Raw genomic sequence first — 25834 nt, 5'->3', positions numbered from 1 at the left:
ACAAGCTAAGGAAGTAGAGAGTGATGGCAGTGCGGAGAGTGGAGTAGGTGCTTCTTTAGATGAACTGGTTAGGAAGATACTGTGATGAGAGGGCACTTGAACAAAGACCTGGGAAGTGAATGCATGACCTTCATGCAACCATGGTGCAGGGAGGTAAGGGAAGAGCATTTCACTCAGCATCCCTCCCTGCTGAGTGAAAGCAGTGCGGAGATCCTGAGTTAGGAATGAGCTTGGCAGGTTTAAAGAACAGTAAGGCAAGTATTACTAGTTGGAGTGAGCAAGGAGCAACCAGAATCTAATTCACATTATCCAGCAGAACGACATGAATGCTAGTTGAAAAATACAGTTAACATTAGCATTTTTACTGGCTTATAATGCAATAACTTTGAGCCCAACCTATTTTTTTCCTCTGGCTTCTGAGCACATGTTAATATGTAAGGAAGATGAAACATATATGTAAACAACTTATATTTTAGTAATGATACAAAATACTTTCACAAATTTTGTGATGTGGGAATTTTTTAAAATTCCATTTTCACAGATGAGACCCCTAAAGCTCAGAGTATATGCACTTTGCCCAAGGTCAGAGTTAGTATGTGAGGCAGGAATAGACCCTAGATCTTCTGGAGCTAAATGTACTACTCATTTCTCTGTACTACCCTTATCATTTAGCTATGGTGAACAGAAGATGAACCACTGGATTCTAGAAAGCAGGGAGTTCAGGAACAACGTTGTCCAACCAATGATTCATTCATCTAGTAAATACTTAGGAGCCTACTTTGTGCCAAGCACTCAGCTAGCCTGGGGGTATAAGGATGGTTAAGACTAGAGTCCTGCCTTTAAGGAACTCACCAGTGCCATAGGAGACTGGTGGAAAGAGGATTATAACTCAGTTATAAATCAGTAGCTAGAGTAAAATACACCTAAAGTAGTTCACTAATACATTAATTGGACAAAACTAGTGCAGAACCTGATATATACTAGGTACTGAGATGTTTGTTATCTTACCTGTTTTTCTTTAACATTGGTAAGTACTGGGGGCTTTCTTTGAAACTTTCCTGCTTAAAATCAGTCAGTGATTGACAGGCTCCTTTGCACAGTGTGAATGGCAGGGGCTGTGAAAAAGAAGAGAAAACAGTTTCTCAGTGCCTGTCATTTCTAAATGCCATCAGTATCCACCTAATTTTCTAAGCTAGAATCTTATAATCACCTCCTATTCCTTCTTCTCCTTCACTTGTTACCCGCCCCACATCTAATCAGTCACTAAATTCTGTCAGTTCTACCTTTTAATGACCCTGGAGCCTGCTGGCATCTTGCCATTGTCATTTCCAGTACTACATTTCAGGCCCTCATTATCTCCCATCTGGAATCGATAGCTCCTGACTGGTCTTGTTGCTTTTCATCTCTCTCGCCCTTCATTCCACCTCTCATTTATCCTCCCCAGTGCTGCGAGAGTGTGCTTTCCAAAGCAGATCTGATCCTGCCACCATTCTGAAAAAAAGCATCCTGGGGGACTATGTGACCTGCAGAAAGACGTCCAAATTCCTTAGCATCCTCCATCTTGCACCAATTTCCCCTACTCAGCCTCACTCTAGCCTACTGGATAATGCAGTTTCCTGAAGTTACCACACTATTAAGCCTTTGCCCATGCTGGGTTTGTGTGTGTGTGTGTGTGTGTGTGTGTTTTGAGACAGAGTCTCACTCTGTCGCCCAGGATGGAGTGCAGTGGCATACACTCGGCTCACTACAACCTCTGCCTCCCAGGCTCAAGTTGATTCTCATGCCTCAGCCTCCTAAGTAGCTGAGATTACAGGCACGCGGCACCATGCCCAGCTAATTTTTTTGTATTTTTAGTAGAGATGGGGGTTTCGCGATGTTGGCCAGGCTGGTCTTGAACTCCTGACCTCAAGTGATCTGCCTGCCTTGGCATCCCAAAATGCTGGGATTACAGGCATGAGCCACTGCGCCCAGCCTGCCTATGCTGTTTTTTCTGCCTAGTGTGCATATTTCTCTCCTGGCCTTCAGATGACCTGTCACTCGTTTTTCAGGACCCAACTCATAGGACACTTCCTCTTTCAAGAGGAATGCCAGATGAGCTTTTGGAGAGAGAAGGTTAGCCATTAAGGGGGAAAAAAAGAAAGATAGGGCCAGAGTTGTAACATTTGGTAAACTCTGTTAATGGACTTGATATGTTATGGTTATTTGTGCATTTGTCTCTTTCTCTCAGATTTACTGTTTTGTGTTTATATCCTTAGTATACAGCATAAGTGCTCAATAAATGTTTGTTAAATAAGTGAAGTAGGTATGGGGAGGGAACAACTGTTTATTGAGCACCTATTGTAAGCCTATATGCTTTTCACACATCATCTCATTTAAACCTCAAAACAATTTTTTTGATTTAAGTATTATTTGCTAATAAGAAACAGTCGCAGAGGACATAAATACTTACCTCTCTCCCCACCCACAAAGGTTATGGGTTTGTGAGGAATGGAACTAAAGTTGGAACCTAGGTCTGTCTGACTCCAAAACTTTCCTCTCTTGTGTGATTCTCAGACAGGGACAATTTTGTCCCCCCTTTCTGGGGACATTTGGCAATGTCTGGAGATATTCTTGGTTATTATAATGGGGATGTTACTGGCGTCTAGTGGGTACAGGTCAGGTGTGCTGCTAGGCATCTTCCAATGCACAGAAAAGCCCCACAACAAAGAATTATCTGGCCCTGAATGCCAGTAGTGCCAAGGTTCAGTGTCTTCATCTGTTTGAGCTGCTGTAATAAAATAGCATAGACTGGATAGTTTATAAATAACAGAAATTCATTTCTCACAGTTCTGGAGGCCAGGAAGTCCGAGATCAAGGTGCCAGCAGATTTGATGTCTGGTGAGGGATACTTCCTGGTTCATAGATAGCCATCTTCTGTTTTTGTCTTCACATGATGGAACGGGTAAGAAAACTCACCAGTCTCTTTTGTAAGGGCGCTAATCCCCTTCAGGAAGACTCTACCCTCATGACCTAGTCACTTCCCAAAGTCTCCACCTTCTAATACCACTACCTTGGGGGTTAGTTTTATTTCCTTTCCTTCCCTTTCCCTTTCCTTTTCTCTTTAAAGCAGTTGTTAACATTTAATGAACCTCCTGTTATGTGACTTCAAGCCACCAGGAGAAAGCTCCCCCCACTGAATCTTCTCCTGAGCTCTTCTGCTGAAGAATTTGGCCTTCACGATGACAGGCTGGTTTGGGAACTTTTCCCTTCCCAGAACTCTATAGTAGCCCGATGGCACCACATCAGTGATGGGAGCTGTTCCAGGCTTGTTTTTAGCAGCATTCACCTGTGTCTGCTTCCTGACCAAAGCCCACAATTTGTCAAGGTTGACAGCTGGGTAGAAGCTCAGGTTCCTCTTTAGGTGGTAATGCCTCATACCAACTTTCCTAAAGTAACCTGGGTGACATTTGCTGAAGTCGATCCTGTGGTGATGCATGCCGCCAGCATTGCCACGGCCACCTGGGTGCTTTCAGTGCTTGCTGATGCGGCAGAGGCTGTGGCTCACCTGGCTCCAAAATTTCTGGGTCCTGTGGTGACTACATTTCCTCAGTCTGGATGGCTGTGTGGAAAAAGAAGCTTAGTGGTAAGGCCTAAGGAAGAAGGAGCAGGGGCGATGCTTGCCAGCCTGAGATGGGCCTGTAGGCCTGTGGGCCAAGGACCTGCCATCTGGAGCATTTGGCAAAGTTGAGGGGCCCATGTGTCTTCGAGACCCGAATCTCAGGCTGAACAGGGCTCCGCCCTGGACCCACCTGAGCTGCACTGCCCTGCTGACGGTCAGGTGCGGCCTGGAGGTCCCGATCAAGGTTGAGGGTGGGTGGCTGAGGGCAATGGGAGTAGAGCTTAGGGTCCCTGCTAACAAGGAAGTGGAGGCAAGAAAGGGATCCTAGTTTTCAACATTTGAAATTTTGGAGGACACAGACTTTCATTCTATTACATTGAGAAATCCTGCTCTATTCCATGTTGACTCTAATGAAAAGCAATTCATCAGACAAAATAAATGCATCCATGACCCCATGGGGAGTCAGATTGGGCTTAAGAGAAGTCCTAGGGGCTTGGGGCCATTCATGAGCCACTGGCATTGGTAGGATAGAAAGACTATTCTGTCTAGTCCCTGACCTGCCTTTGATCGTATGGTTCTTACTCTACTGCATCCACCCGGTCCTTCTGTCTCTTCTCCACCTTTCCTTTTCTTCAGTAGACTCTAATTTAGCTTGGGGAAGGCAACCCAGAAAGCTCCAGCATTTTCTAACCTCTTTTCTAATTAGAAGATAGAGTTAGCATATAAGAAGCTGCAAGTTTCAACTTGACAATATCTCTAGAACTGAGAACAGGGCCAAAAATGTCACCCTCTGAAATTGACAGTAAAATAGATGAGATTATTCACTGTGATAATCTTCCCAGAAAATAACCCACCTAAGAAATTCTTGGTAAGTGTGCTGCTAAGCCTTGGCTGTTTCCTAATCTCAGCCAGGGTCCAAGAATGCCTCCCTGTAAAGAAAAGCATTTAAAACGTAACTTGTGCATTAAACTAGTAATCTAGGAAATTATAAAGTGTTTGCCTTGGGGAAGTGTTCTAATGGGGGACACTTTTAATGGGTCTTAAGTGTAACTGCCTATAATTGTTGGGGATGCTTTGTGTTTTTGTTTTTCTATCTCTCAACATAACAAATATTAGGAGAGAGGAACCAGGTTTATTTTACTGGTGTCTGGCAGCAAAGGCATGGATGAGTCACTGCTAGTGAAGGGTAGGAATTAGTGGTGTGTGTGTATGGGGGTGGCGGATGGTCACAGAAGTCTTTTCCTTGGTAAAGTGGTTTTAATCAGAAGCCCATAAACCTTGGTTGTGTGCAAAATGTGTGTGTATTTGTGTGCATTTTTTCTGTAAAATGTGTCTGTAGCATTCAAAGGGTTCTCTGACCTCCAAAAAGTAAAACCCCTGCCTTGGTGATTAGAACATAGCTACCAGGGACAATGAAATAGAAGATAACCCAGGAAAGGCAAGGGAAGTGAGTGCCTCGTAGGAGAGAAAGGGTTCATTTTGAGCTCACATTTATTGATTGTGCATGCAGAAGGCCTCTTTACATACATAAATAAGGTTCCTAATTTTATAACAAATATTGGGAGCCCAGCATGCAGTGGAAGGATGAACTGTGAGAAAACATCAAGGCAGAACAAATCCAGCCTGGTGGATGCTGGAGAAAAGTACAAAGGGTGATGAGAGGACTTGGAAAGAATGCAGTGTGGGGAGAGAAAGGGGGAGAGAGAGAGAGAGAGAATATGTGTGTGTGCACACGCATGCATGTGCACGCATGAATATGAGGTGGGGAAGATGAATATTAAGTTGTTCTACATATGTCAATATCCATGCTGAGTTTAGATTCCACAGATGCCCTGGGGTAGCCAATACTAAGAGAATGGTTCTGTAAAGCTGAGTTCTAGGAAGCTAACCAGACAATTAAGAAGGGATTCTTCTAACGTTCTTTTCAATTTTAAGTTACAGAAACCAACTTTAGCTAAAGGACTTAAAGGATACTGGACAATCCATAAATCCCTAGGAAAGAACTGAACAAGGAAGTCTGGGGAGGCAAGAAATTGGACAGTTTGGGGACTTCCACAGCAGGTGACCAACTCCAGTGACCTCGTTTCCAGATCTCTATATTTGGGTTTTAAATTAACAAGAGAGGAGTTAGCTGTTGGGACTTGTACCAGAGAAGGGGAAATCATGAGCCAAGGAATCACCTTGGTTGTTGACCAAAGTCATTATCATATTGGTTTAGAGCAGGTGTCCTATCTTGAAAAGTGTGCGAGACTAATACCCAAGTCTTCTGATTGCCACTTACACGCAGCATGCTCTCAAGGCACATTCACAATTTCTTAATATTTTAAAAACTAATTAATAGGGTTTGGGTAGGAATAGAGTGGGGGACTTTCAGGCAAAGGGAACAAAAAGTGCAGTGGCCTTCAGGTAGGATGAACTTGGCATCCCAGAAATAGAAAAGGCTCTTGTGGCTAGAGAATTATCTGCAAGGAGTAAAGAGTAGAAGAAGGGCATTCAGAGGCTTGATTGCATCATGGTGAGAAGTTCAGAGGTTTTTTTTTTTGTTTGCTTGTTTATTTTCCTATGTGCAGCCGAAAGCCACTGAAGAGATTTAAGCAGATATGAATTACATTTTTTGAAAAACACTCCAGCTGCTCAATGGAGAATGGATTCTGTGAAGGCTTGAATAAGAGTGACAGTACTAGAGATGGTAAGAAGTGGGTTGATTCAGCATGCATTTTTGTATCTTGGGGAGAGAACTGGCAGAACTTGTTGACGGATTTGGTGTCAGGGAAAAGAAAAGGGAAATCCAAAGTGGGTGCTAGGCTTTTGGCTTGGGCAACTAGATGGATGGTAATGTTCTTCACTGAATTATGAAGACTGATGGAAGGAGTAGTTTTAGGGAGGAAGACGGTTTGGAATCGATCGTGTCAAGTGTGAGATGTCAGCAGTCTTAGTGAGGAAGTCAGAGGGACAGTCAGATATATATTTGGGAATCACCAGATTATAAATGTTGCTTAAAGACAAGGGCCTGGGTGGGATTGCTTGGGGGGCCTAAGACCGAGCTCTGGGCACTGTAATATTAGATAATCTAGCTGGGCAGCAATGGGCAAAGGAAACTGGGGAGAAGTCAGTTAAGTCAGAGAAATGCTGTATTATTTTTAAAGTGTGGGATTTTTTTTTTTATTTTTTTTGAGACAGAGTCTCACTCTGTTGCCCAGGCTGGAGTGGAGTGCAGTGATACCATTATGGCTAACTTCAGCCTTGACCTCCTGGGCTCAAGCGATCCTCCTGCCTCAGCCTCCCAAGTGGTTAAGACCACAGGTGCATGCTGCCATGCCTGTCTAATTTTTGTTTTTTGATTTTTTGTAGAGATGAGGTCTCACTTTGTTGCCCAGGCTGGTTTCAAACTCCTAGGCTCAAGCTATCCTCCTGCTTCAGCCTCCCAGAGTGTTAGGATTACAGGTGTAAGCCACTGCACCCGGCCAAAGTTTGGGCTCTTAATTTATAGTTCTTTATAGATGTTTGTAATTTCTCTATATGATAGTTTATTTTGGACACTTGTGTTGTTTATGAATCTATTCTCATAGTAGTCTAGTAAATGTTACACACTTTGCAGCTCTAGATTTTTCCTTGCTTAAATTGTTGGCAAAATCTCTCTAGTTTTATCTTTCTGTGTGTTTGAGGGGCTGGGAGCCATCCCCTGTTAACTGGGCATGGAAGGAAGGCCAAGTCTGCCATTAAGTCTCTTTTTGAGCCTGTATATATTTGCATAAGGTCCATTAACTATATTAAGTGGTCATAGATAAACCAGATACTTATAGGCAACTCTAATAAACTACATGCAGCTTTGTAGATTATTTGCAATAAAATTTTAATTTTAACAATCCTTTAATTGTTAAATTAAAGCCTGCCTAAGCTCTCTTGTAGTATTTTGCATATGTCTGGGGTGGATCTCTTTATTGGCTTTTGGCATATGCGTTTGGTTTAAAGCAGTCCAAGCAAAACATAAGTAGAAAGGTAGGCTTACTGATTATATATGGTATATATATTTACACACACACACACACAGAGTAAACAGCCATAAGAACTATGTCCAGCTCTTTCTAATATAGCTAAGTAACTGTAACAGTCAGTTAGTCCACCTGAGGACCCCAGCTTTATTTTTTAAGTAAAAATAAAAATCTTACTTGTTATCAAAACAATATGTTCCTTATAGTAAAACAGAAGCAAAATTTTTAAATAGGAAATTTGGAACACAATAATCATAACTCCACCATCCAGGGATAACCACTGTTAATATCTAAGGTTGTATTCTTCCAGATCATTGTATATATACTGTAGAGTTTGGAGTCATACTATTCATTTTAATTTAAAATAAACTTAAAAAAAACTTAGCAATGTATTGTGACTATCTTTCTTTCTTTCTTTTCTTTTTCTTTTTTTCTTTTTTTTTTTTTTGGAGACAGGATCTTATTCTGTCACCCAGGCTGGAGTGTAGTGGCACAATCATAGCTCACTGCAGCCTCAACCTCCTGGGCTCAGGTGTTCCTCCCACCTCAGCGTGTCAGGCAGCTGGGATTACAGGTGTGCGCCACCATACCCAGCTAAGTTTTGTTTTTGTTTTTGTTTTTTTGTTTTTTGTTTTTTTTGAGAGATGGCATTTCACCATGTTGCCAAGGGGGGTCTCACACTCCTGGGCTCAAGTAATCTGCCTGTCTCAGCCTCCCAAAGTGCTGGGATTACATGAGTGAGCCACTGCACCCAGTCCCTATCTTTCCTTCCTTCCTCCCTCCCTCTCTCCCTCCCTCTCTCTCTCTCTCTTTCTTTCTTTCGACAGAGTCTCACTCTGTCACTTAGGCTGGAGTGCAGTGGCCCGATTTCTGCTCACTGGAACCTCCACCTCCCGGGTTCAAGTGATTCTCCTGCCTCAGCCCCCTGAGTAGCTGAGATCACAGGCATACACCACCATGCCCAGCTAATTTTTGTATTTTTAGTGGAGATGGGGTTTCACCATGTTGGCCAGGCTGGTCTCAAACTCCTGGCCTCAAGTGATCCACCTGCCTTGGCATCCCAAAGTGCTGGGATTATAGGCGTGAGCCAACGTGCCCAGCTGGGCCCCTATCTTTTAATAATAATAAATATTCTTCAAGACTTTCTACAGACTTTAAATGACCGCCAAGAATTTCACAGTATGAATGTACGAATTTAGCTATTTATCAGTGTTCGCATTGTTTCTGGTTTTTGTTTTTGTTTTTGTGTTCTGCTAGTGTGTCAATAATGCCATCCTGGCTGGCTGTGGTGGCTCACGCTTGTAATCCCAGCGCTTTGGGAGGCTGAGACAAGAGGATTGCTTGAGGTCAGAAGTTTGAGACCAGCCTGGGAAACATACGGATACCTTGTCTCTATTAAAAAACAAAAATTAGCCAGGCATGCTGGTGTGTACCTGTAGTCGCAGCTACTTGGGAGACTGAGCCTGGGAGATAAGGCTGCAGTGAGCTATGATTGTACCACTGCACTCCAGCCTGGGTGACAGAGTGAGACAATGCTTCAAAAAAATAATGATATCCTTGCAATTAAATCCTTGTATACAGTATATTCCTATTTCCTTAGTCTAAACTTTGAGAAGTAGACTTGCTGAGTCAAAGAGTTCTGACGCATATTGCCAAATTTTTCTACAGGCTGAATTAATGTCCACTTCTACCAAAAATAAATGCCTTTGTTAACACTGGGTCTCAAAAACAATTTCAAAAATGTTTGTCAAATCAATAGGGAAAATGGTATCTCATCAGTGGTTTAATTTGTATTTATTTGATTACTTGTGAGGTTGAATGTTTTTGTCTTACACTTGTTAGCTATTGGCATTTCTAATTTAATGACTTGCTTTTCTATATCCTGTACTCAATATTCTCTGAAGATGCTTGTTATTGATTTGTAGGACCAGTATCTCTATAAATGGATATTGAGTCTATGTGTTTTAAATATTTTTTCTAGTCTGCCATTGGCCTTTTATTTTTTGATCTGAAATGGTTAAAAAATATATGTAATTTAGGCCAGTTTTTCTTTTTGTGATTTCTCTGTTGCTATTTTTAAAATGTTGTTATTGTAGACATTATTTTTTGATACATATTTGTATGTATTTATAGGGTACAAGTGCTATTTTGATACATGCATGGAATGTGTAGTGATCAAGTCAGGGCATTTAGGATATTCACCACCTCAAACATTTATCATTTCTTTGTATTGGGAACATTTCAAGTCTTCTCTCCCAGCTATTTTGAAATATACAAGGTATTGTTGTTAACTATAGTCACCTCACTCTGCTATCAAACTTTACAGCTTTTTCCTTTCGTCTAAGTGTTTGTTTTTACTCATTAATCAACCTCTTTTCATCCCCCCCATCCACATACACACCCTTCCCGCCCTCTGGTATCTATCATTCTACTCTCTAACTCCCTGCGATCAAATTTTTTAGCTCTCACATATGAGTGATTTGTCTTTCTGTGCTTGGTTTATTTCACTCGACATAATGACCTCTAGTTCCATCCATGTTGCTGCAAATAATAGGATTTCATCCCGTTTTTTATGGCCAAATAGTATTCCATTGTGTATATATACATTTTCTTTATCCATTTTCCCCTTGATGGACACAGTTTGCTTCCATATCTATGCTATTGTGAATAGTCCTACATTAAATATAGGAGTGCAGATACCCCTTTGATACACTGATTTCCTTTCCTTTGGATAAATACCCAGTAGTGGAATTGCTGGATTGCATGGTAGGTCTACTTTAAGTTTTTCGAGAAATCTTCATACTCTTATCGTAGTAACTATGCTAACTTACATTCCCGCCAACAGTGTATAACAGTTCCCCTTCTCCACATCCTTGTCAGCATTTGTTTTTTTCCCTGATAATAGCTATTCTAACTGGGATAAGGTGATATCTCATTGTGATTTTGACTTGCATTTCCCTAATTAGTGGTGTTAAGCATTTAAAAAATATACTTATTGTGTATTTGTATGTCTCCTTTTGAGAAATGTCTATTCCGATTCTTTGCCCACTTTTAATATAATTATTTGTTTTTTTTTGGTATTGAGTTGAGTTTCTTGTATATTTTAGATATTAGTCCCTTGTCAAATGAATAGTTTGCAAATATTTTCTTTTGTTATTTTTGAGAAAGCATTTCCCAACTTGAAATTATATAAATACTTTCCTATATATATATTTTCTACTGCTTGTTTAGTTCCATTTTTTGCTTTAAATCATTACCCTGTAGACTTTATTTGGTATAATACAAGAAGTAGAAATTTAATTTAATTTATTTCAAATGATTCACTATTCAAAGATTAATCAATTTTTTATACCATTTCACATTACTTCTGCTATATTTGCAGATTAATTATAAAGGGAAGCACTGATCAAAAGTTGCACACTGGAGGCCCATGGCCATATCTAGCCTATGAATATATTTAGTTCAGAATATTTTTGAATTAGTTATCTGCATCTAAAAATCAGAAAGTTTTATACAAGAATCTGTTTTTACAAATTCTCCTTAAAAATCAGAATATCTGGCAACTCTAGACTCACAGTCTCCCTTGACAAAAATGTGCAGGAGCTGGGAGGCAATTGCTTCCCATCATCAGGAAAGGTCCCCACCAGTGTACTTTATTCATTTTTGTTGTCTGCCTAATCCCTGAAGGCATTTCAGGATGCTATTAAGTTTTGTATATTTATTTTGCAATTGGACACATTACACGAATTCTCTAATTAGTACTAACTGTTTTGTGGCTAATTTTCTTGGGGTTTCAAGTAATTATATCATCATGCAAAAAATTATAATTTTATCTTCTCTTTCCAAAATATATACTTTCTAATTCTTTCTTCTCGCCTTATTACAGTTGCCTAAAAATTTCTCACATTTTGAATAATCGTTATGACTGTTAATTTTAACTTTAATTTTTAACATGAGGAGATTGAGAGATGCCTAAATGGCTGGTTTGTTTCTGGGTGTGTCTGTTTCCAGGAGAGATTGGTGGGTGAGTCAGTGGACTGAGAGAAGAAGACTTGCCCTCGATGGGGGCAGGCATTGTCCAACTGGTTGGGGGCCTGGTTGGAACAAACAGGAGAAAGACAGCAGATTCTCTGTCTCTGCTGTCTTTCCTCTGGAGTGGGAGGCTTTTCCTCCTCTTGCCCTTGGACATCAGGCTCCAGGTTCTTTGGCTTTTGGACTCTGGGACTTGCACCAGTGACCTCCCAGGGCTCTCAGGCCTTTGGCCCCAGACTGGAGGCTGCACGGTCAGCTTCCCTGGTTCTGAGTTCCCTGGTTCTCTTTAGCTTACAGGTGGCTGGTCGTGGGACTTTGCCTCTGTGGTCATGTGAGCAGCCAATTCCCTCATAAATCCCCTCTCATATCCTACTGGCTCTGTTTCTCTGAAGAACCTTGACTAACACAAGGCTCATAATAGCAGGCATCTTTATACGGTACCTAATTTTAATGGGAATGCCCCTTGTGCTTGACTTTTAGGTATGAAGTAAGCATTTTTTTATTGTGTCAAGGAAGTATACTTTTTATAGTTCTCTGATGTTTTGATTTTGTATTAATATCAGTAATATATGTGGAATTTCATCAGACCAAATGACTCTTCAATATCTATTGATATTATCCTGTGACTTCTCTAAATTTAATACATTATAATAAGAGATTTTTCTAAGGGTTTATATGCTTCACATAGTTTAAGCCATGTATGTATTTTTATTATGAATCCTACCAATGTCTAACACTACTTAATAAACCCTAATAATATCCTTCTTAATCTAATTTGCTAGAATAAATCCAGATAAATATTATTTTATTAAGTTTGTCTGGCACTCCTCATATTGGCCCCATTATTTCTATATGTGGTCATTTTCCTCCATTTTCTCATCCTTACAATGGGAGGCTTATGCCTGTCCAGCATGGGAATGGGTAAGTGTTCTCTCAGAGATTATGCATCCCTGTGAAAGCCTTTCAGTCTTGGCACAGGAAATAAGTTTATATTTTGTTGACCTTAACCACCTTAGAAGTGTCTTGGTGTATGAGAAGTAAGAAGAGAGGTGGCCATAGGTAGGCAGCCTCATCTCTGGCTGAAGGGCTCCTCCTGGGATTGTCACAGCAGCTGAAGCCCACCGGGGCAGGCAGCAGTACCCCTCCAGCCAGCATGGCGGCCCTCCCCAAGAGCAAACCTCATCAGAACCTCTGCTCCATTCTCCATGCCTTCTGTGCTGTGAACAAGTCTTGAGCATCCCTGGGACCACCCGGCCCTCCTTGAGAGCTCCAGCACCTGTTTCCTTCTCAAGGTGGTGGTGGAGTTTGAATTTGACACTGCCCTCAACAAAATGACAGTCTTATGATCGTCACTCATCTCTGGTCCCGTCACACCAAGGAGTGGAGTGTTTGTCCTCTTCTTTTGCATAGGTCATTTCAGCTGCAAGTTACGAAGGGAGAGTGTTAAATGCATTGACTCAGATTGTCATGCTGAATTGGAAACACTGGCTATTCCACTTGTATTGACTCTCAAGTTGAAAAGTGGGCCTTTTGTGCATTCAGCATGCCTCCCAGAGCCTAGCAAGGAGGGTAGAGATGGATAGGCAGCTTCTTTTTTCCAATCCATACTTGAGAAAATTTCAGCTGCATCAGCAGGTTACAAGGGAAACTACCTGAATGCCACCTGGGATTTATAGCCACCTGGGGGATAAGCATTTGTTTCTAATGTGGAATAAGATAATCTTTTCCTCCTAGCCTCTGGACAATAGAAAGGGAGTCTGACCATTTGCCAAACACATTGTGGAAGGGGAAAGTACGTAGAACTGGAGATTGGACAATGTCCTTAATACTCTTCCTTTACAGAAATTCTGTGACTAGTGTTTTATTTGACTAGAGATGGAGGGCTCCATCTCTCTAATCTTGAAGTCCTGAGATATGTGCCTGCTTGTTCAATGTCACCTAAGGCTTTTTAGTCAGTGTTGAAGGATGGGGCTGTCTTATGATCACACAGATATGTTTTATTGTCTTAAGGGCCTGACAAATCAGGGATACCTTCTAGTTAAATTCCTCTTTAAGGGCCTGAAGTCTCCTTAGTACTCAGCATGCAGTTCAGATGTTTCCCTTTCTCCTGGGAAACAAATAGGATTCTCAAATTGTGACTTTGTTAATTGTTCTTAAGCAAATTGCATTAAAATTTATATGCACCTTTCCAAGAGAAGATAAATTACACATGTTAAAGGAAGGAGAAGAAAAGACACAGTGATTATGAAATTCCTCAGAGAAAGGTTCTTTGTTCTTTGCGTGCCTCATAATCTATCTGTCAGAGCAGACCTGTCCATTCAGCAGGTCTAAGATGGCAGTGAGTTATGATTGGGGGACTCAAGCTTATCATCCTCATTCTCGGGAATATAATTGAAAGGTCAGAATACTTCCCCTTTGAGAGTTATCCAGCTTTGCCCAGGGGCTTGGCTGTGGTCCATGGGTCTTTAACTTGAGGACAGGGGGAAGGTAGGGTAGGGAACGTGGTCTTAGATTTCTCAGATATTTGAAAATAACTTTATCTTCGGTCAAAATCTGGAAACTGTACACATTACAATCAAGTGTTTCTTGGACTTTCTAGGGTAGAGGAAAAATGGGACAATGAAATAACTCTTTTATTCTTTTATGTCTGTTGGAGTCTTGAAACTCTCATCACTTTGCCCCGATATCATTCAGTCGGGCCCAACCTGAGCAAGAGAACATCTCTGATTTGATAAGCTTCTAAAGTAGTGTACATATTGCATTTTGACCACAATAAGACAGATTATGCAGAGTGCTATGAGACAGAGACAGGCCTAAAGAACTTCACTTTCTTTTTCTTTTCTTTTTTTTCTAACATAAAAGGCTGGGCAATTATTCAGGCATTGCCCATGCCACTCCTGACCTTGTGCAATTGTCCAGAAAGTCCCTGAGCCCAGAGCTGGGTGCAGGCTGTGCCTACAGCAAAGTCCTTGGGGGTAACCGGTAGCCTGTGGGGGAGGGGTACTGTTATGACCTCCTTTTACAACTTTCGCAAGGGCAGGCAATCTGGATCAGTGGAGTTAGCTAATCATAACTTCCTCAGTTATTTTATAACTCTGTGCCTCAGTTTCCTCTTCTCTAAAATGATGATAAAAATAGAATGTACTTTTTAGAGATGTGAAAATTAAATGAGGTAAAACTGTTAGGAGAGTTTCAGGGCTAGAGTAAGTGCTTAATCAATCATTATTTATGACATTATTACCTTATTTGGATCATTGAGGAGTAAATTTCTCTCTATTCTTGAATAGAAATGCTTAATAATCAAACAATTTGGTTTCTAAGTGAAGATGAGCTTTTAGTGGGAAATTTACAGATATCTTATGCCTCCCCTTCTTGCCTATACAAAGCCTGTATTCTTGGTTGGGACACCAAGAGCCTTATAAACTTTGCTTAAGCACAACAGAGAATATTCACAAAGTCTCTTAATCTCATCCAATTCCCATGAGAAGGAACACTGTTACATAGTGATGACAGTGGATCTCAACTGCATCATGAATTCTTCCCAAGAGACTCCTGAAACATTTATTTTATGGTAAAGATGCCTTCCAGCAAGATTGACTATAAAAAGAATTTTCTCTCTCTCATTGACTTGTTTTATAAAATCAGAGATATGATCTCATGGAAGAAAATCTTCCAATTGATTTGACAAAAATGCTTAGTTAAAGAATGAGTAGATGATGTGTTTGTTTTATTCCACAACTAAATTGTAAGTTCTTAAAGGGAAGGGAGCTAGATTCCTATTTTTGTAGATTACAAAGATTCAGTACATCGGACTGACCTGGTGGCTCATGCCTGTAATCCTAGCTACTTGGGAGGTCAAAGTGGGAAGATTGCTTGAGCCCAGGAGTTTGAGGCTGCAATGAGCTGTGATCGTGCCATTGCACTCCAGCCTGGGCGACAGAGTGAGACCCTGTCTGTAAAACAAAACAAAACTAAACAAGAATAGATTTAGTACAGGACCCTAAAATGTGCGGGGTACAGTAAATGTTGACATGGGCTGACCAGGTCCGAATAGTAGAAACAGAATATTTTTGAAACTTTTAAGAAGAAAATTCGCTTATGAAAAGATAATAATAGATGTGCCTAGATGTGGGAGTGAAGACAGTAGCCACACTCACTTGACTCTGCCTTTCCTAGAGGGCCCTGAGGGTGTCCTTTAGTGTTTTGAGGGCCTCTGAGAGGGCGTGACCCTGTTTGATTGAAGATGAGGCTCCTGAGACCAAGTGACTTAACCAAGTCTATACCAAGTTATTTATGGTAAAATCAGGACTAGGACTCAGACCTTTAACTGAACATGGAGATTCCAAGATCTCCCTTCTGCTTTCTCTGTATGAAAGGAATTTTTCTTATTTTGATTTATACCTGAGACTAGTATAATTCCACATCAACCAGCTCCTGTTAAATTTCCTGTGAAAGGAAGTTGGATGCAATATCACAATTGACCAATAGATGTCACTATATGCCATATTATTGTGCATGTGGCCACCTGTCTGAAATTTGCTTGAATTTCTTAATTGGGGTGGGGTCTGCAGACTTCTGGGAATCACTGGATCTGTTTGGGAGACACAAAAGAACTATGAGAATTTTAAAAATTGTATCTTAAGCTTGATAAAAGTTTTATCAAATCAAGAGTTATTCGACCTGCTATAAAGGCAAAACTCTTACTTGAAATCTTTTTTGATAGGAAAAAAGGGATGTTTTTCAAGTTGAGTTCCCTGGATGAGAAGTGGAGTTAGTGGGGCTGTGAGGAGCCCCTAACTTCTATTCAATTGGCAAAACCTCCCCTTCCACTTCATAGAGAGGAGTCTGAGGGATTGAAGGGCATGAGATTTGAAGTTCAACACAACTGGGTCTGAGTTCTGGTTCATTCATTAGCTGTCTGATCTTGAGTATGTTATTTAACCTCGTCTAGCCCCACTTCCCTCAGCTGTAACATAATGACACTGATCATATGGTGTTGTAAGGATGAAATGAGACGATATGTGAAAACACAAAGATTAACTGTCATTATTAACTATGACCATTTCACTTTACGAAGGCATTTTTATAACTAAAAATGCTTGGAAAGTACTAACTAGTCCAAGTTTCCATTTTAAAAATGGGACTTAAGAGGCCAAGTTATTTGGTTCTCTGATTATGTTTTACAATTTCATAATACAAGTATTTATGTAAAACAAGACATGCCTGTTCTAAATCTTTTACAGGTGTGTCCCTCCCCACTTGGGGAAATGTGATATGTCCCTATTCAAATTTATCAAACTGATGAAATACAAAATAACCCTTCACTTTGTAATTTAGCAGGCTAAATAATCCAGTTTATTTGAAACTTTTATCTTTATTTTTTTCTGTTTATAAAAGTATTCTAGAATAAGTGTGCAAAATTTCAGCAAATGATGTGTTTAAGTAATGATTTGATTGATGTAGTTAAAATATAATTTAATAATTAAATATGGATGTTTTCATAACTTTTCAACCACACAGTTTTAATGTTTTGATTTAGTCGATTCATTTATTAGGCAAATATTTTCATTGGGAACATTCATATTCACCGAATACATGTATAGGCTGCTAAGTGAAGGCTTTAATGGAGTGGGAATTCATGAATACTTGACCTTATGATGTCGGTTGCTCTGATAAATTGTTAGCTGAAAGAATAATTCAAAGTGTTGTGGGTCTACACTTTGAAGTAGAGGTTGAAGGCCTCTACTGCTGCTGCCGACAGAGGGCGCAGGCAGGTTTGTGCATCTTCTGAGCAGGTGGGGTGCTGTGAGTTACATCTGGGCCAACTACCCATTCAGGAGGCACACCATCTGGGGCCATGATACTTACTGGTACCCATGAAAATGTTTTAATTTTAAGTTCTTTTGAAATACAAAGAAAAAATAAATATAAGAATAATGAATATAATAAGGAATCCAGCTTACATTACATTTTGCCTGGGAAACAGCCAGACTCCATCTCTACAAAAATAAAAATTAAAAATTAAAAAAAAAAATTAGCCAGGTGTGATGGCAGGCACCTGTAATCCCAGATACATGGGAGGCTGAGGCAGGAGAATTGCTTGAGCACAGGAGTTCAAGGCTGCAGTGAGCTATGATGGCACCAATGCACTCCAGCCTGGGTGACAGAGCGAGATCCTGTCACAAAAAAAAAAAAAAAAAAAAAAAAAAATTATGGAGGTGAGGCTCTCTAAGGCCAGAGTAGCTAAGGCCCATGAAAATTATAATGTGACCTGAGCTACACTTCCAAAAAATGTGGAGTCCTAAGTTTACTGTAAGGGGAGAGGGGGATGAGGGAGAAAGTTGGAGGAAGAGGGAGTTGCTGAAGGCAAACTCGGCCTCGGGCCTGGGACACACGATAACCCAGAGAGTAGGGTGAAGGTTTAGCTCACCTGGGCTCTGACTGACTATATGGGAGGTGACCTGGGAGTGTAGGAATTATTTTAAGTTACAAAACTGTTTGTACAAAGACCTTTCTGACCTCATAGCTGCCAAGCTCCTAGACTTTTACCTGCTTCCCAAATCTTCAAAAACAGGCCGTTTTATTCGCCTCGCTTGCAGTCTGTAAAATGTCTTGCTGCCTATAAAATGTCATAGGTCTGGATTGGAAAACACAGGGTGGGCAGGCTGCATGATTCCTCCCCATCTAGGCCTAGGGAGAGCTATGTTTCAGGCTAAGTAGTAGTGCGGGTCGACTTTTCCCTCCTTGGAAAGTTACCATTGGAGGAACTCTGAGACTTCCAAGCAGGTATCTCTGCCTGAACATGAGGGGAGAAAAGAGATCACCCTCTGGGAAAAGAGCAGGCTTGCTGGTAACTCAGAGGACACTTTCTGACAGGCAAGAGAAGAAAGCTAGGTTTCCAGTCTGTGGCTTTTCTCTCTCCAGTGACAGTGTGTTCTGGCACTCCCAGATATGATTGCCTGGTTGCTTAGGGATGGCGCCTGGACCCTTGGCCTGGCGTCTTTGAGGGCTTCCTTCTGGGAAGAGAGAGGGCAAGTGAAGCAGGCTAGAACACGGCCATCTGGTGGCACTGGGCAGTCGACCAGCATCCCCTGCCATCCAGTGAAACACCTGTGAGACTCATGGGGTGGGATGGGAAGATGGGGTTGGGGAGGCTCTGCCCTCAAGAGCTTTGGTGCCATGCACCCATCCAGCCCCAGAGAGAGGGGCAGCAGTGGAGCAGGGGCAGAAGTCTAACAGTCACTCCTGACAGCTGGGGCCAACAGTGAGCCTGGAGAGACCTTGGCTGTGGAGGGGGGATGGAGGTGGCAGGTGTGCCTCTCAACGGAGGGAATAATGGGGATGCATGTGTACAGATACGGTCTGGCTTTTCTGGGGCCAACACCACTCCTACCTGCCTCTTGGCGAACAGGCTGCATCCATCATGTTAGTCTCTTAGGATTAGGTGATGGCTTTGGTTATTTAACTCCTGGGGTGCCTTGTGCCCTGAGGACACCATGCTGATCTTGCTCTCTGGCTGGTGGGTGGGTCCCTTTACTGGCTGACTCTGGGGGGGCAGCAGGGGAGATGTTACTCTATCATTCCTATGCTGATTTATGGCTTCATCTTTTAGTCCTTATGGAGTCAGGTCAGGGGACACAAAGATGAGTAATATATGGTCTCTGCCTTCAAGGAGCTCAAAGTCTGTTGGGAGAGAAAAAAAAAAAGAAAAAAGACTACTGGCACGCAGTGACAAATGCTGGGCTAAGGCCTGCCCAGGAAGGGGACAGCTGCTGGGAGAGGTGTGTGCAGGGGCAGGGTGGGCCTCAAGACAGGGAAGGTGGGATTCCAAGGGAACACAGGAATCGGCCAAGTGGGAAGTCAGGGAGGAACATGTAAAGCTCTGGTGCCATCAAAACCCAGAGGCACTCAGGACTGCCGGCCCTTGAAAAGGCAAGAGCTTAGGGGACAGGATGGGGAATGGAAAGAAAGAAGAATGGAGAGAGGCAGGGCTTCTGGTTATGACCAAGAGCCAGGCATCCCCCTACTAAAGGAAGGATTGGAGAGGAACTGCAAGATTTCCTCAGGGGAGAGACAAGACCAGACTTGAATTATACAAAGATTGAGTCTGGGAGAGGTGGGGAGATGAGAGCTGGAAGCAAGGAGGCCTGTTAGAAGGCAATTATGAGTAGGAAATGATAAGAACCTAAGATCACTGGCAGTCAGTGCAGATTACAGGCTTGTGGCTCCCAGGTGCATGGTGGTGAGTGGGTGGTGGGGTGCAAGGATGGGAGGAGCTTCCCAACTCCTCCTGCTCTTGCGCCTCCAGCCCCAAGGAGATGAGAGAGCTGGTCCAGGTCTTGTTCTAGGAAGGTGCCCCTGCTGGGTTCTGGTTGAGGCGATTTGCCCAGGGTGGAGCCTTTCGCCTCTGCACAGGCTGCTCCTCCTTCCCTTCCCAGCACACTTCCCTTCCCTATGCCTTGTGGTCAACTCCTGCTTGTTCTTTAAGGTACAGGTCAGGTGTTACCTCCTTCAGAGAGACTTTTGTGGCCTATTCCTGCCCCATACCTTGGGTCAGGAGCCTCATTGTTGTGGCATGTGGTTACTGTGCTTGCAGTAAAGGCCTCTGTCATCGTGCACTAAAAGGGCCCAATAACTTGCCGTCTTTTCCCACTACACTGAGCTCCATGAGTGCAAGGTTTATCCTGATGTATTATGTATTAAATGCATATTTACCAACAGCCTGCTTGGTAAGCCAGGAACAGAGCTAGGCATTTGGGATATAAGAGTGAGGGGAAAAACAGGCACTAATCATGCAACCATGAAATTTAGAGCCTATAAGCAAAGACTCATGCTATGATGAGGACAAACACAATGTTATAAGAGCTCCTAGTAGGTACCCATTAGGCAGGGTTCTCCAGAGAAACAGAACAAAGAGGATGTGTGAGTGTGTGTGTGTGTGTGTGTGTATACACATATGTAGATATAGGGAGAGAAATTTATGATAAGGAAATGGCTCTCATGACTATGGAGACTGGCAAGTCCAAATCTACAATATAGTTCTATTCTGAAGGCCAGCACCTGGAGACCCAGGAAAGCCAAGGTTCCAGCTCCAGTATGAAGGCTGTCTTTTGGAGAATTCCCTCTCGCTCAGGATAGCCAGTCTTTTTATTCGATTGAGGCCTTCAACTGATTGGATGAGATGCACCCACATTATGGAGGTCACCCTGCCTTACCCAAAGTGTATTGATTTAAATGCTAATCTCATCCAAAAACACCCTTCAAGCCTGGGTGCAGTGGCGCATGCCTGTAATCCCAGCATTTTGGGAGGCTGAGGTGGGCAGATTGCTTGAGCTCAGAAGTTCAAGACCAGTCTGACCAACATGGCAAAACCCCATCCTACAAAAAATAGAAAAAAAAGCCAAGAGTAGTGGTATATGCCTGTAGTCCAAGCTACTTGGGAGGCTAAGGTGGGAGGATCATTTGAGCCCAGAGGTCAAGGCTGCGGTCAGTCAAGATTATACCACTGCACACAAGCCAGGAAAGGGTGAGACCCTCTCTTAAAAAAAAAATTAAAAAAATAAATACATGAAAACCAAAAACACCCTTCAAGTTGACACAAAAAATTAGCAATTGCAGTACTCGGGCCTAATCTAGGCAGTCAGGAAACCCTCCTTTGAGAGAGGAGCAATAATGCTGAGATCTGAAGAAGAGCCAAGGGCACATGGAAGATGTGAGGGTGAGGGGGAAGAAGGGAGGCCATGTCAGGTGGAGAAAACAGCCTGTGCAAAGGTCCTGTGTCAGGAGGGAACACTGCATTCTGGGGGATCTGAAAGAAGGCCAATATAGCCAGAAGGGAAAGAATAAGGGAGCTTGGTATGAGATGATTCTGGATAGATGGGAAGATGGCAGATCCTGCAGGGTCTTGTAGGCCACAGTAAGAGGTGTGGTCCATATCGCAAGAGCATTGGGAAGCTATGAAAATTTTGTTAATGAATAACGTGATCAAATTTGCATGATTGCATGTTGAAGTTCCCTCTGGTGGCAATGAGAATCGGGTGTATATAGGCAAGAGTTGCCATGGGGTGGCTGGTTGTATTATTCAGGATTCTCCAGAGAAACAGAGCCAATAGGACACATATAGATGCATGAGAGGAGATTTATTATGAGAATTAGCTCGTGTGACTATAGAGGCCAAAAAATTCCATGATATGCTGTTTGCAAGCTGGAGAACCAGGTAAGCCAGTGGTGTAATTCAGTTCAAGTCCAGAGGCCTGAGAACCAGGAGAGCCGATGGTGTAACGGTCCAAGACCAAAAGTCTGAGAACTGGAGCTTGGGGTTGGGGATGGGGTGGGGAACTGCTGGTGTCAAGTCCTAGAGTCTAAAGGCCTGAGGACCAGGAGCTCCAATTTCCAAAGGCAGCAGCAGATAGATGTCCCAGCCCAAGAAGAGAGAGTAAACTGTAGCACTCCCTTAAATTTTGAAAAGTGATGCCTCCTTCACCTTATCCTCATTCAGACCTTGGCCCAGAGAGTCCCAGAGCCAGGAAAATCTATGTCCAGTGTCCCAGATAGGAAGGCATGCAGCTCTCCCTAGCAAATGGAAGTTCCCCAGAAAGATTGGGGGAACACTGGGAAGATGGGGCTGTCTGCAACGTCAGCATTTCTTCACATAAATGAAATGACTCCACATTCAAGGCCAGGAAAGAAGGAATATAGTGTATGCCCCACCTCATCTCTGTCACAGAGACCTGATGAACAGAAAAACCATGATATGAGCGTGCTTAGAAACCACAGTTATGCTACCAATATCTTTTAATAATGTTTGTTTAATAAAAACAAAATGTTATTGTTATCATTATTAACTATTACACTCTATTTTCATATTTTTCTGTTTAGTAGGTAGATTTTTTTCTAACAGGCTTTGTAATCTCTTGGATTATGTTTTTCTTTAGCTATTAATGAAATTAATTTGGGTTCCTTGAACACAGCCATCATTTCACAAATGTTCTGCCTAGATGACAGAGAAAAGTCTGCCTAGAATGGAAAAAAAGTATTAATAATCCACAAAAGGAATAATCCGCATTATCATTTGGATTAATTGAGAATTGATTGGAATCATCTTGAGTCAGGTAACTTCACTGAATTAGTAAAACTGGCATAAAACTCTTCCAGGGCGAAGAGCTTTATCAACAAAGTTAGGTGCTGTATCTGCCTATTCCTCTGGCCACTAGTTTCTGCCTCCTTTGAAGGTAGGAAGGTTTCACATGATCATCATTTATGAATTGAATACTTTCCATGCAGAAGGTATTGCATATAAAATCAGCTTCTGGCTCTGAGTTATTTGCACTTTTTCTTCAGAGACAGGCACGGTTGGTGGTGAGCTAGATTCATGAGCCCTTGGATTAGTATCCAGGTTGGCACACACTGTGCTGATGCTCTAGCTGGACCCTAACATTGATGAGGTCAGTGCTTAGACCATTCAAAAGTCTGCACACTTCTCCTATCACTGACATGTCCTCCACATTATTTTCTGTTCTTGGACTTTCTTCTTCTCAGTCACCCATCAATCCTGATTCCTCAGGCTTCAGCCTTTTTCATCCAGTTGGGCAGAGCTGCCAAGGATGTGCAGTTATATTCTATGGCTCTCCTCCTTAAGGGAATATTATGCTAAATGTTCCCTCCCCCACCGCCCTGTTCAAAGAGGAGGAGCACCCCAATGAGAACTTCATGGCATCTGTGAATTCTTTGTGCAGTATCTTCCATTGATTAATCAGACTTCCTAGTGTATTTCAGACTGATTCTCTTCTAAATTCACAATAAATTGATGACTTAACTAATTATATTTGCAAAGACTCTATTTCCAAAGAAAGACACATTCTGAGGTTCCATGCTGACATGAATTTTGGGGGTGATGCTATTCAACTTACTACACTCTGTAACCAGTGATGTACATCACTTACATATTTGATCTCAACCTAGGAGTCTATTGTCCCTTACATATTTTATGTAGACGAATGACTGACATAAATATTTTTGGAAAACTAAACATCAAGGTTGATAGATTTTATCAGATTTTATCTGTGGTTAAAATTCATGAGCCATGAATCTGGTCAAATGTCTATGAGTTTGATTGAATACTCCTGAAAGGCAAACCACGGTATAAATCCAGGAAATACATAGTATAAATCCAGGATAGGCTTCATCCGTGTTTTGAACCTAAGTGTTAGTGTTGTGAATTATTTAATAGTTGCTTTTTATTTTCTCTTTGCCTGTTGACATCTTTAAAATATACATTTTAGGCTTTAATTATACCTATTTATAAATTTGCCTTTTCTTCTAAGTTGATTGGTGAGAACTGAGGGCAAAGGAAGCTAAGATTAAGTGAATAGTATTTACATTTGAAAAATACAAAACGAAAGAATGATTTTTTATTATATCTGATTACTTAAAAACATAATTTTTATAATATAAAATTGATGTGTACTCATTGTGGATGCTTTGAAAAAAAATAGCCCAAAGAGAAAATAAAATGCTCTTGTAGTCCCAGTCATCAGAATGAAGTGTTGTTAATATTTTCAAAGTATGCTTTTTCAGTCCTTTTTCTAATTGTATGCACATGTAAACATGAAGTGTGAAGAAAATGAGACCTATATTTATACACATGTACTCACAGGATTGTAGCTGCTCCTGCCTTTAAGAGGATGGTAGAATTCATCTCAAGAAAGATTTTTAAAAATTATAAACATTCTTAATGGTCTTGATAAAGCATGAATGGTGAACACCTCTCCCTCTTTTTCAGGGCATGGAAAGAGGAGGTGGGACTAACAGAGCAGTGAATCACTCCACACAAAACAGCAAAACAGGAGGGAACTGAGTTATTTGTTGGCAGCTCAAGATACTGGAGAAGATGACGGGCCAGGAAGTTGAAAGAAGGTGAGAGGTTGAGGAGAGAAGAGGGGAGCTGGGGAGAAGCTCTGGCCACGTGAAAACCGGTAGAGCCTCCAGAAGACTGCAGCCAAGGAGGAATTCCTTGTGGCAAGGAATGTCTGATGTTGAATGTTAGATGGTTTTCTGCGCTGTGCTGGGATGATACAACTTGACTCAACTCTTCAGTTGATTGTTCCCTACTAACAGCACCCTGGGGTTAGTGTTGCTTTGGTTGAAAGGAAGCATGAAAAAGTTCTTCTATGATTTCATTTTTTTTAATCCAACTCTTTAATCCATTTAGAATTTATTTTGATATAAAGAATGAGGTGGAACATTAGCTTAATTTTTCTCCTGAAGTTTAGCCAATGATCTGACCATCTTTTAAATGATTTTAAATGCCACCTTGATATTATGTTAAATTATACTAAATGCTCAAGTATACTTTGGTCTATGCTTGTCTGGAAGAGACATTCCAATGTTCCCTCTCTCTTTTAGCTTTAGTAATAAACTTTCAAATTCATCTGGACTCATGGGTCTTCTAAATCATTACTATGTCTCCCAACTTCTTTTGCTGCTAGCTATGGCTGTTGATATAGAAGCAGGAATATTGTATGTAACTTTCAGGATGGTCCTGAATAAGAGGGGCCATGCTCCTTTTCACCCCTTTTCCTCCTTTCTGACAACTGTGATGTAAATAAAAAGAACTCTGGCAGCCATCTTGGACCATGACGTAGAAGTTGCTTGTTGAATGTTATTGCAAAATAGAAGTAGTCTTGGTCTCCCAAGAGCCCTTGATGACTTTCTGTCACCTGTAGATTGCTTATCTTTAGACTTATAATGAGAGAAAAATAAACTTTGATGGGGCTCAGGACACACCACCCCAAAATATCACTGTAGGAGACCACAATATGCCATCCCAAAATATGCCTCTTTGCTGTATTGGTCATTTTAAGTTGGTTATTTTTGAGAAACTGCAGACATAGGAGTAGCTCTGAAAAGTTGCCCTTTTGCAGGAGAAATTTACATCAATGAAGGAAACCTCAATTTTTAAGGGTGTTTTCCTCTCTGCACCAAGAAGAGAAGGAGGACTAAATCACTAGAGACTCTTATCAATGGAAAAGACATAGACTTAAATCCACATAACAAACCTCGTCCTCGTTTTGTGGCGCTTTTCCTGGCCATCTGCTCTTAACCTGGCTTTTACCCACACTCTTCTTTCTTTGTTTCAGAGAAAAATGACATTTACGCCTGAAGTTTACATGCTTTTTTTTTTTTTTTTTTGAGATCTACTCTAGAGATTTAT

At 41.5% G+C, this 25834-nt stretch overlaps 1 long non-coding RNA gene and 1 pseudogene across 2 annotated transcripts; one reads left to right on the top strand and one right to left on the bottom strand.

Moving 5' to 3' along the window:
* The first annotated feature begins 1915 nt into the window (after window positions 1–1915).
* On the top strand, window positions 1916–25247 carry LOC124904436 (uncharacterized). 2 transcript variants are annotated; one of them, XR_007066682.1, is made up of 4 exons: window positions 1916–2941; window positions 5534–5659; window positions 6169–6287; window positions 24404–25247. It is a non-coding gene; the product is annotated as an uncharacterized LOC124904436 (long non-coding RNA). The 2 variants fall into 2 exon arrangements; XR_007066681.1 differs by lacking the exon at window positions 24404–25247 and having other exon boundaries at window positions 5534–7974.
* Window positions 3108–3602, bottom strand: RPL27AP2 (ribosomal protein L27a pseudogene 2; annotated as a pseudogene).
* Window positions 25248–25834: the final 587 nt, after the last annotated feature.

Source organism: Homo sapiens, chromosome 1 (genome assembly GCF_000001405.40).
Source record: "Homo sapiens chromosome 1, GRCh38.p14 Primary Assembly".
Taxonomy (NCBI): domain Eukaryota; kingdom Metazoa; phylum Chordata; class Mammalia; order Primates; family Hominidae; genus Homo; species Homo sapiens.
The sequence above is the reverse complement of the archived record's forward strand: the minus strand, read 5'-3'. Positions and strand labels throughout refer to the sequence as shown.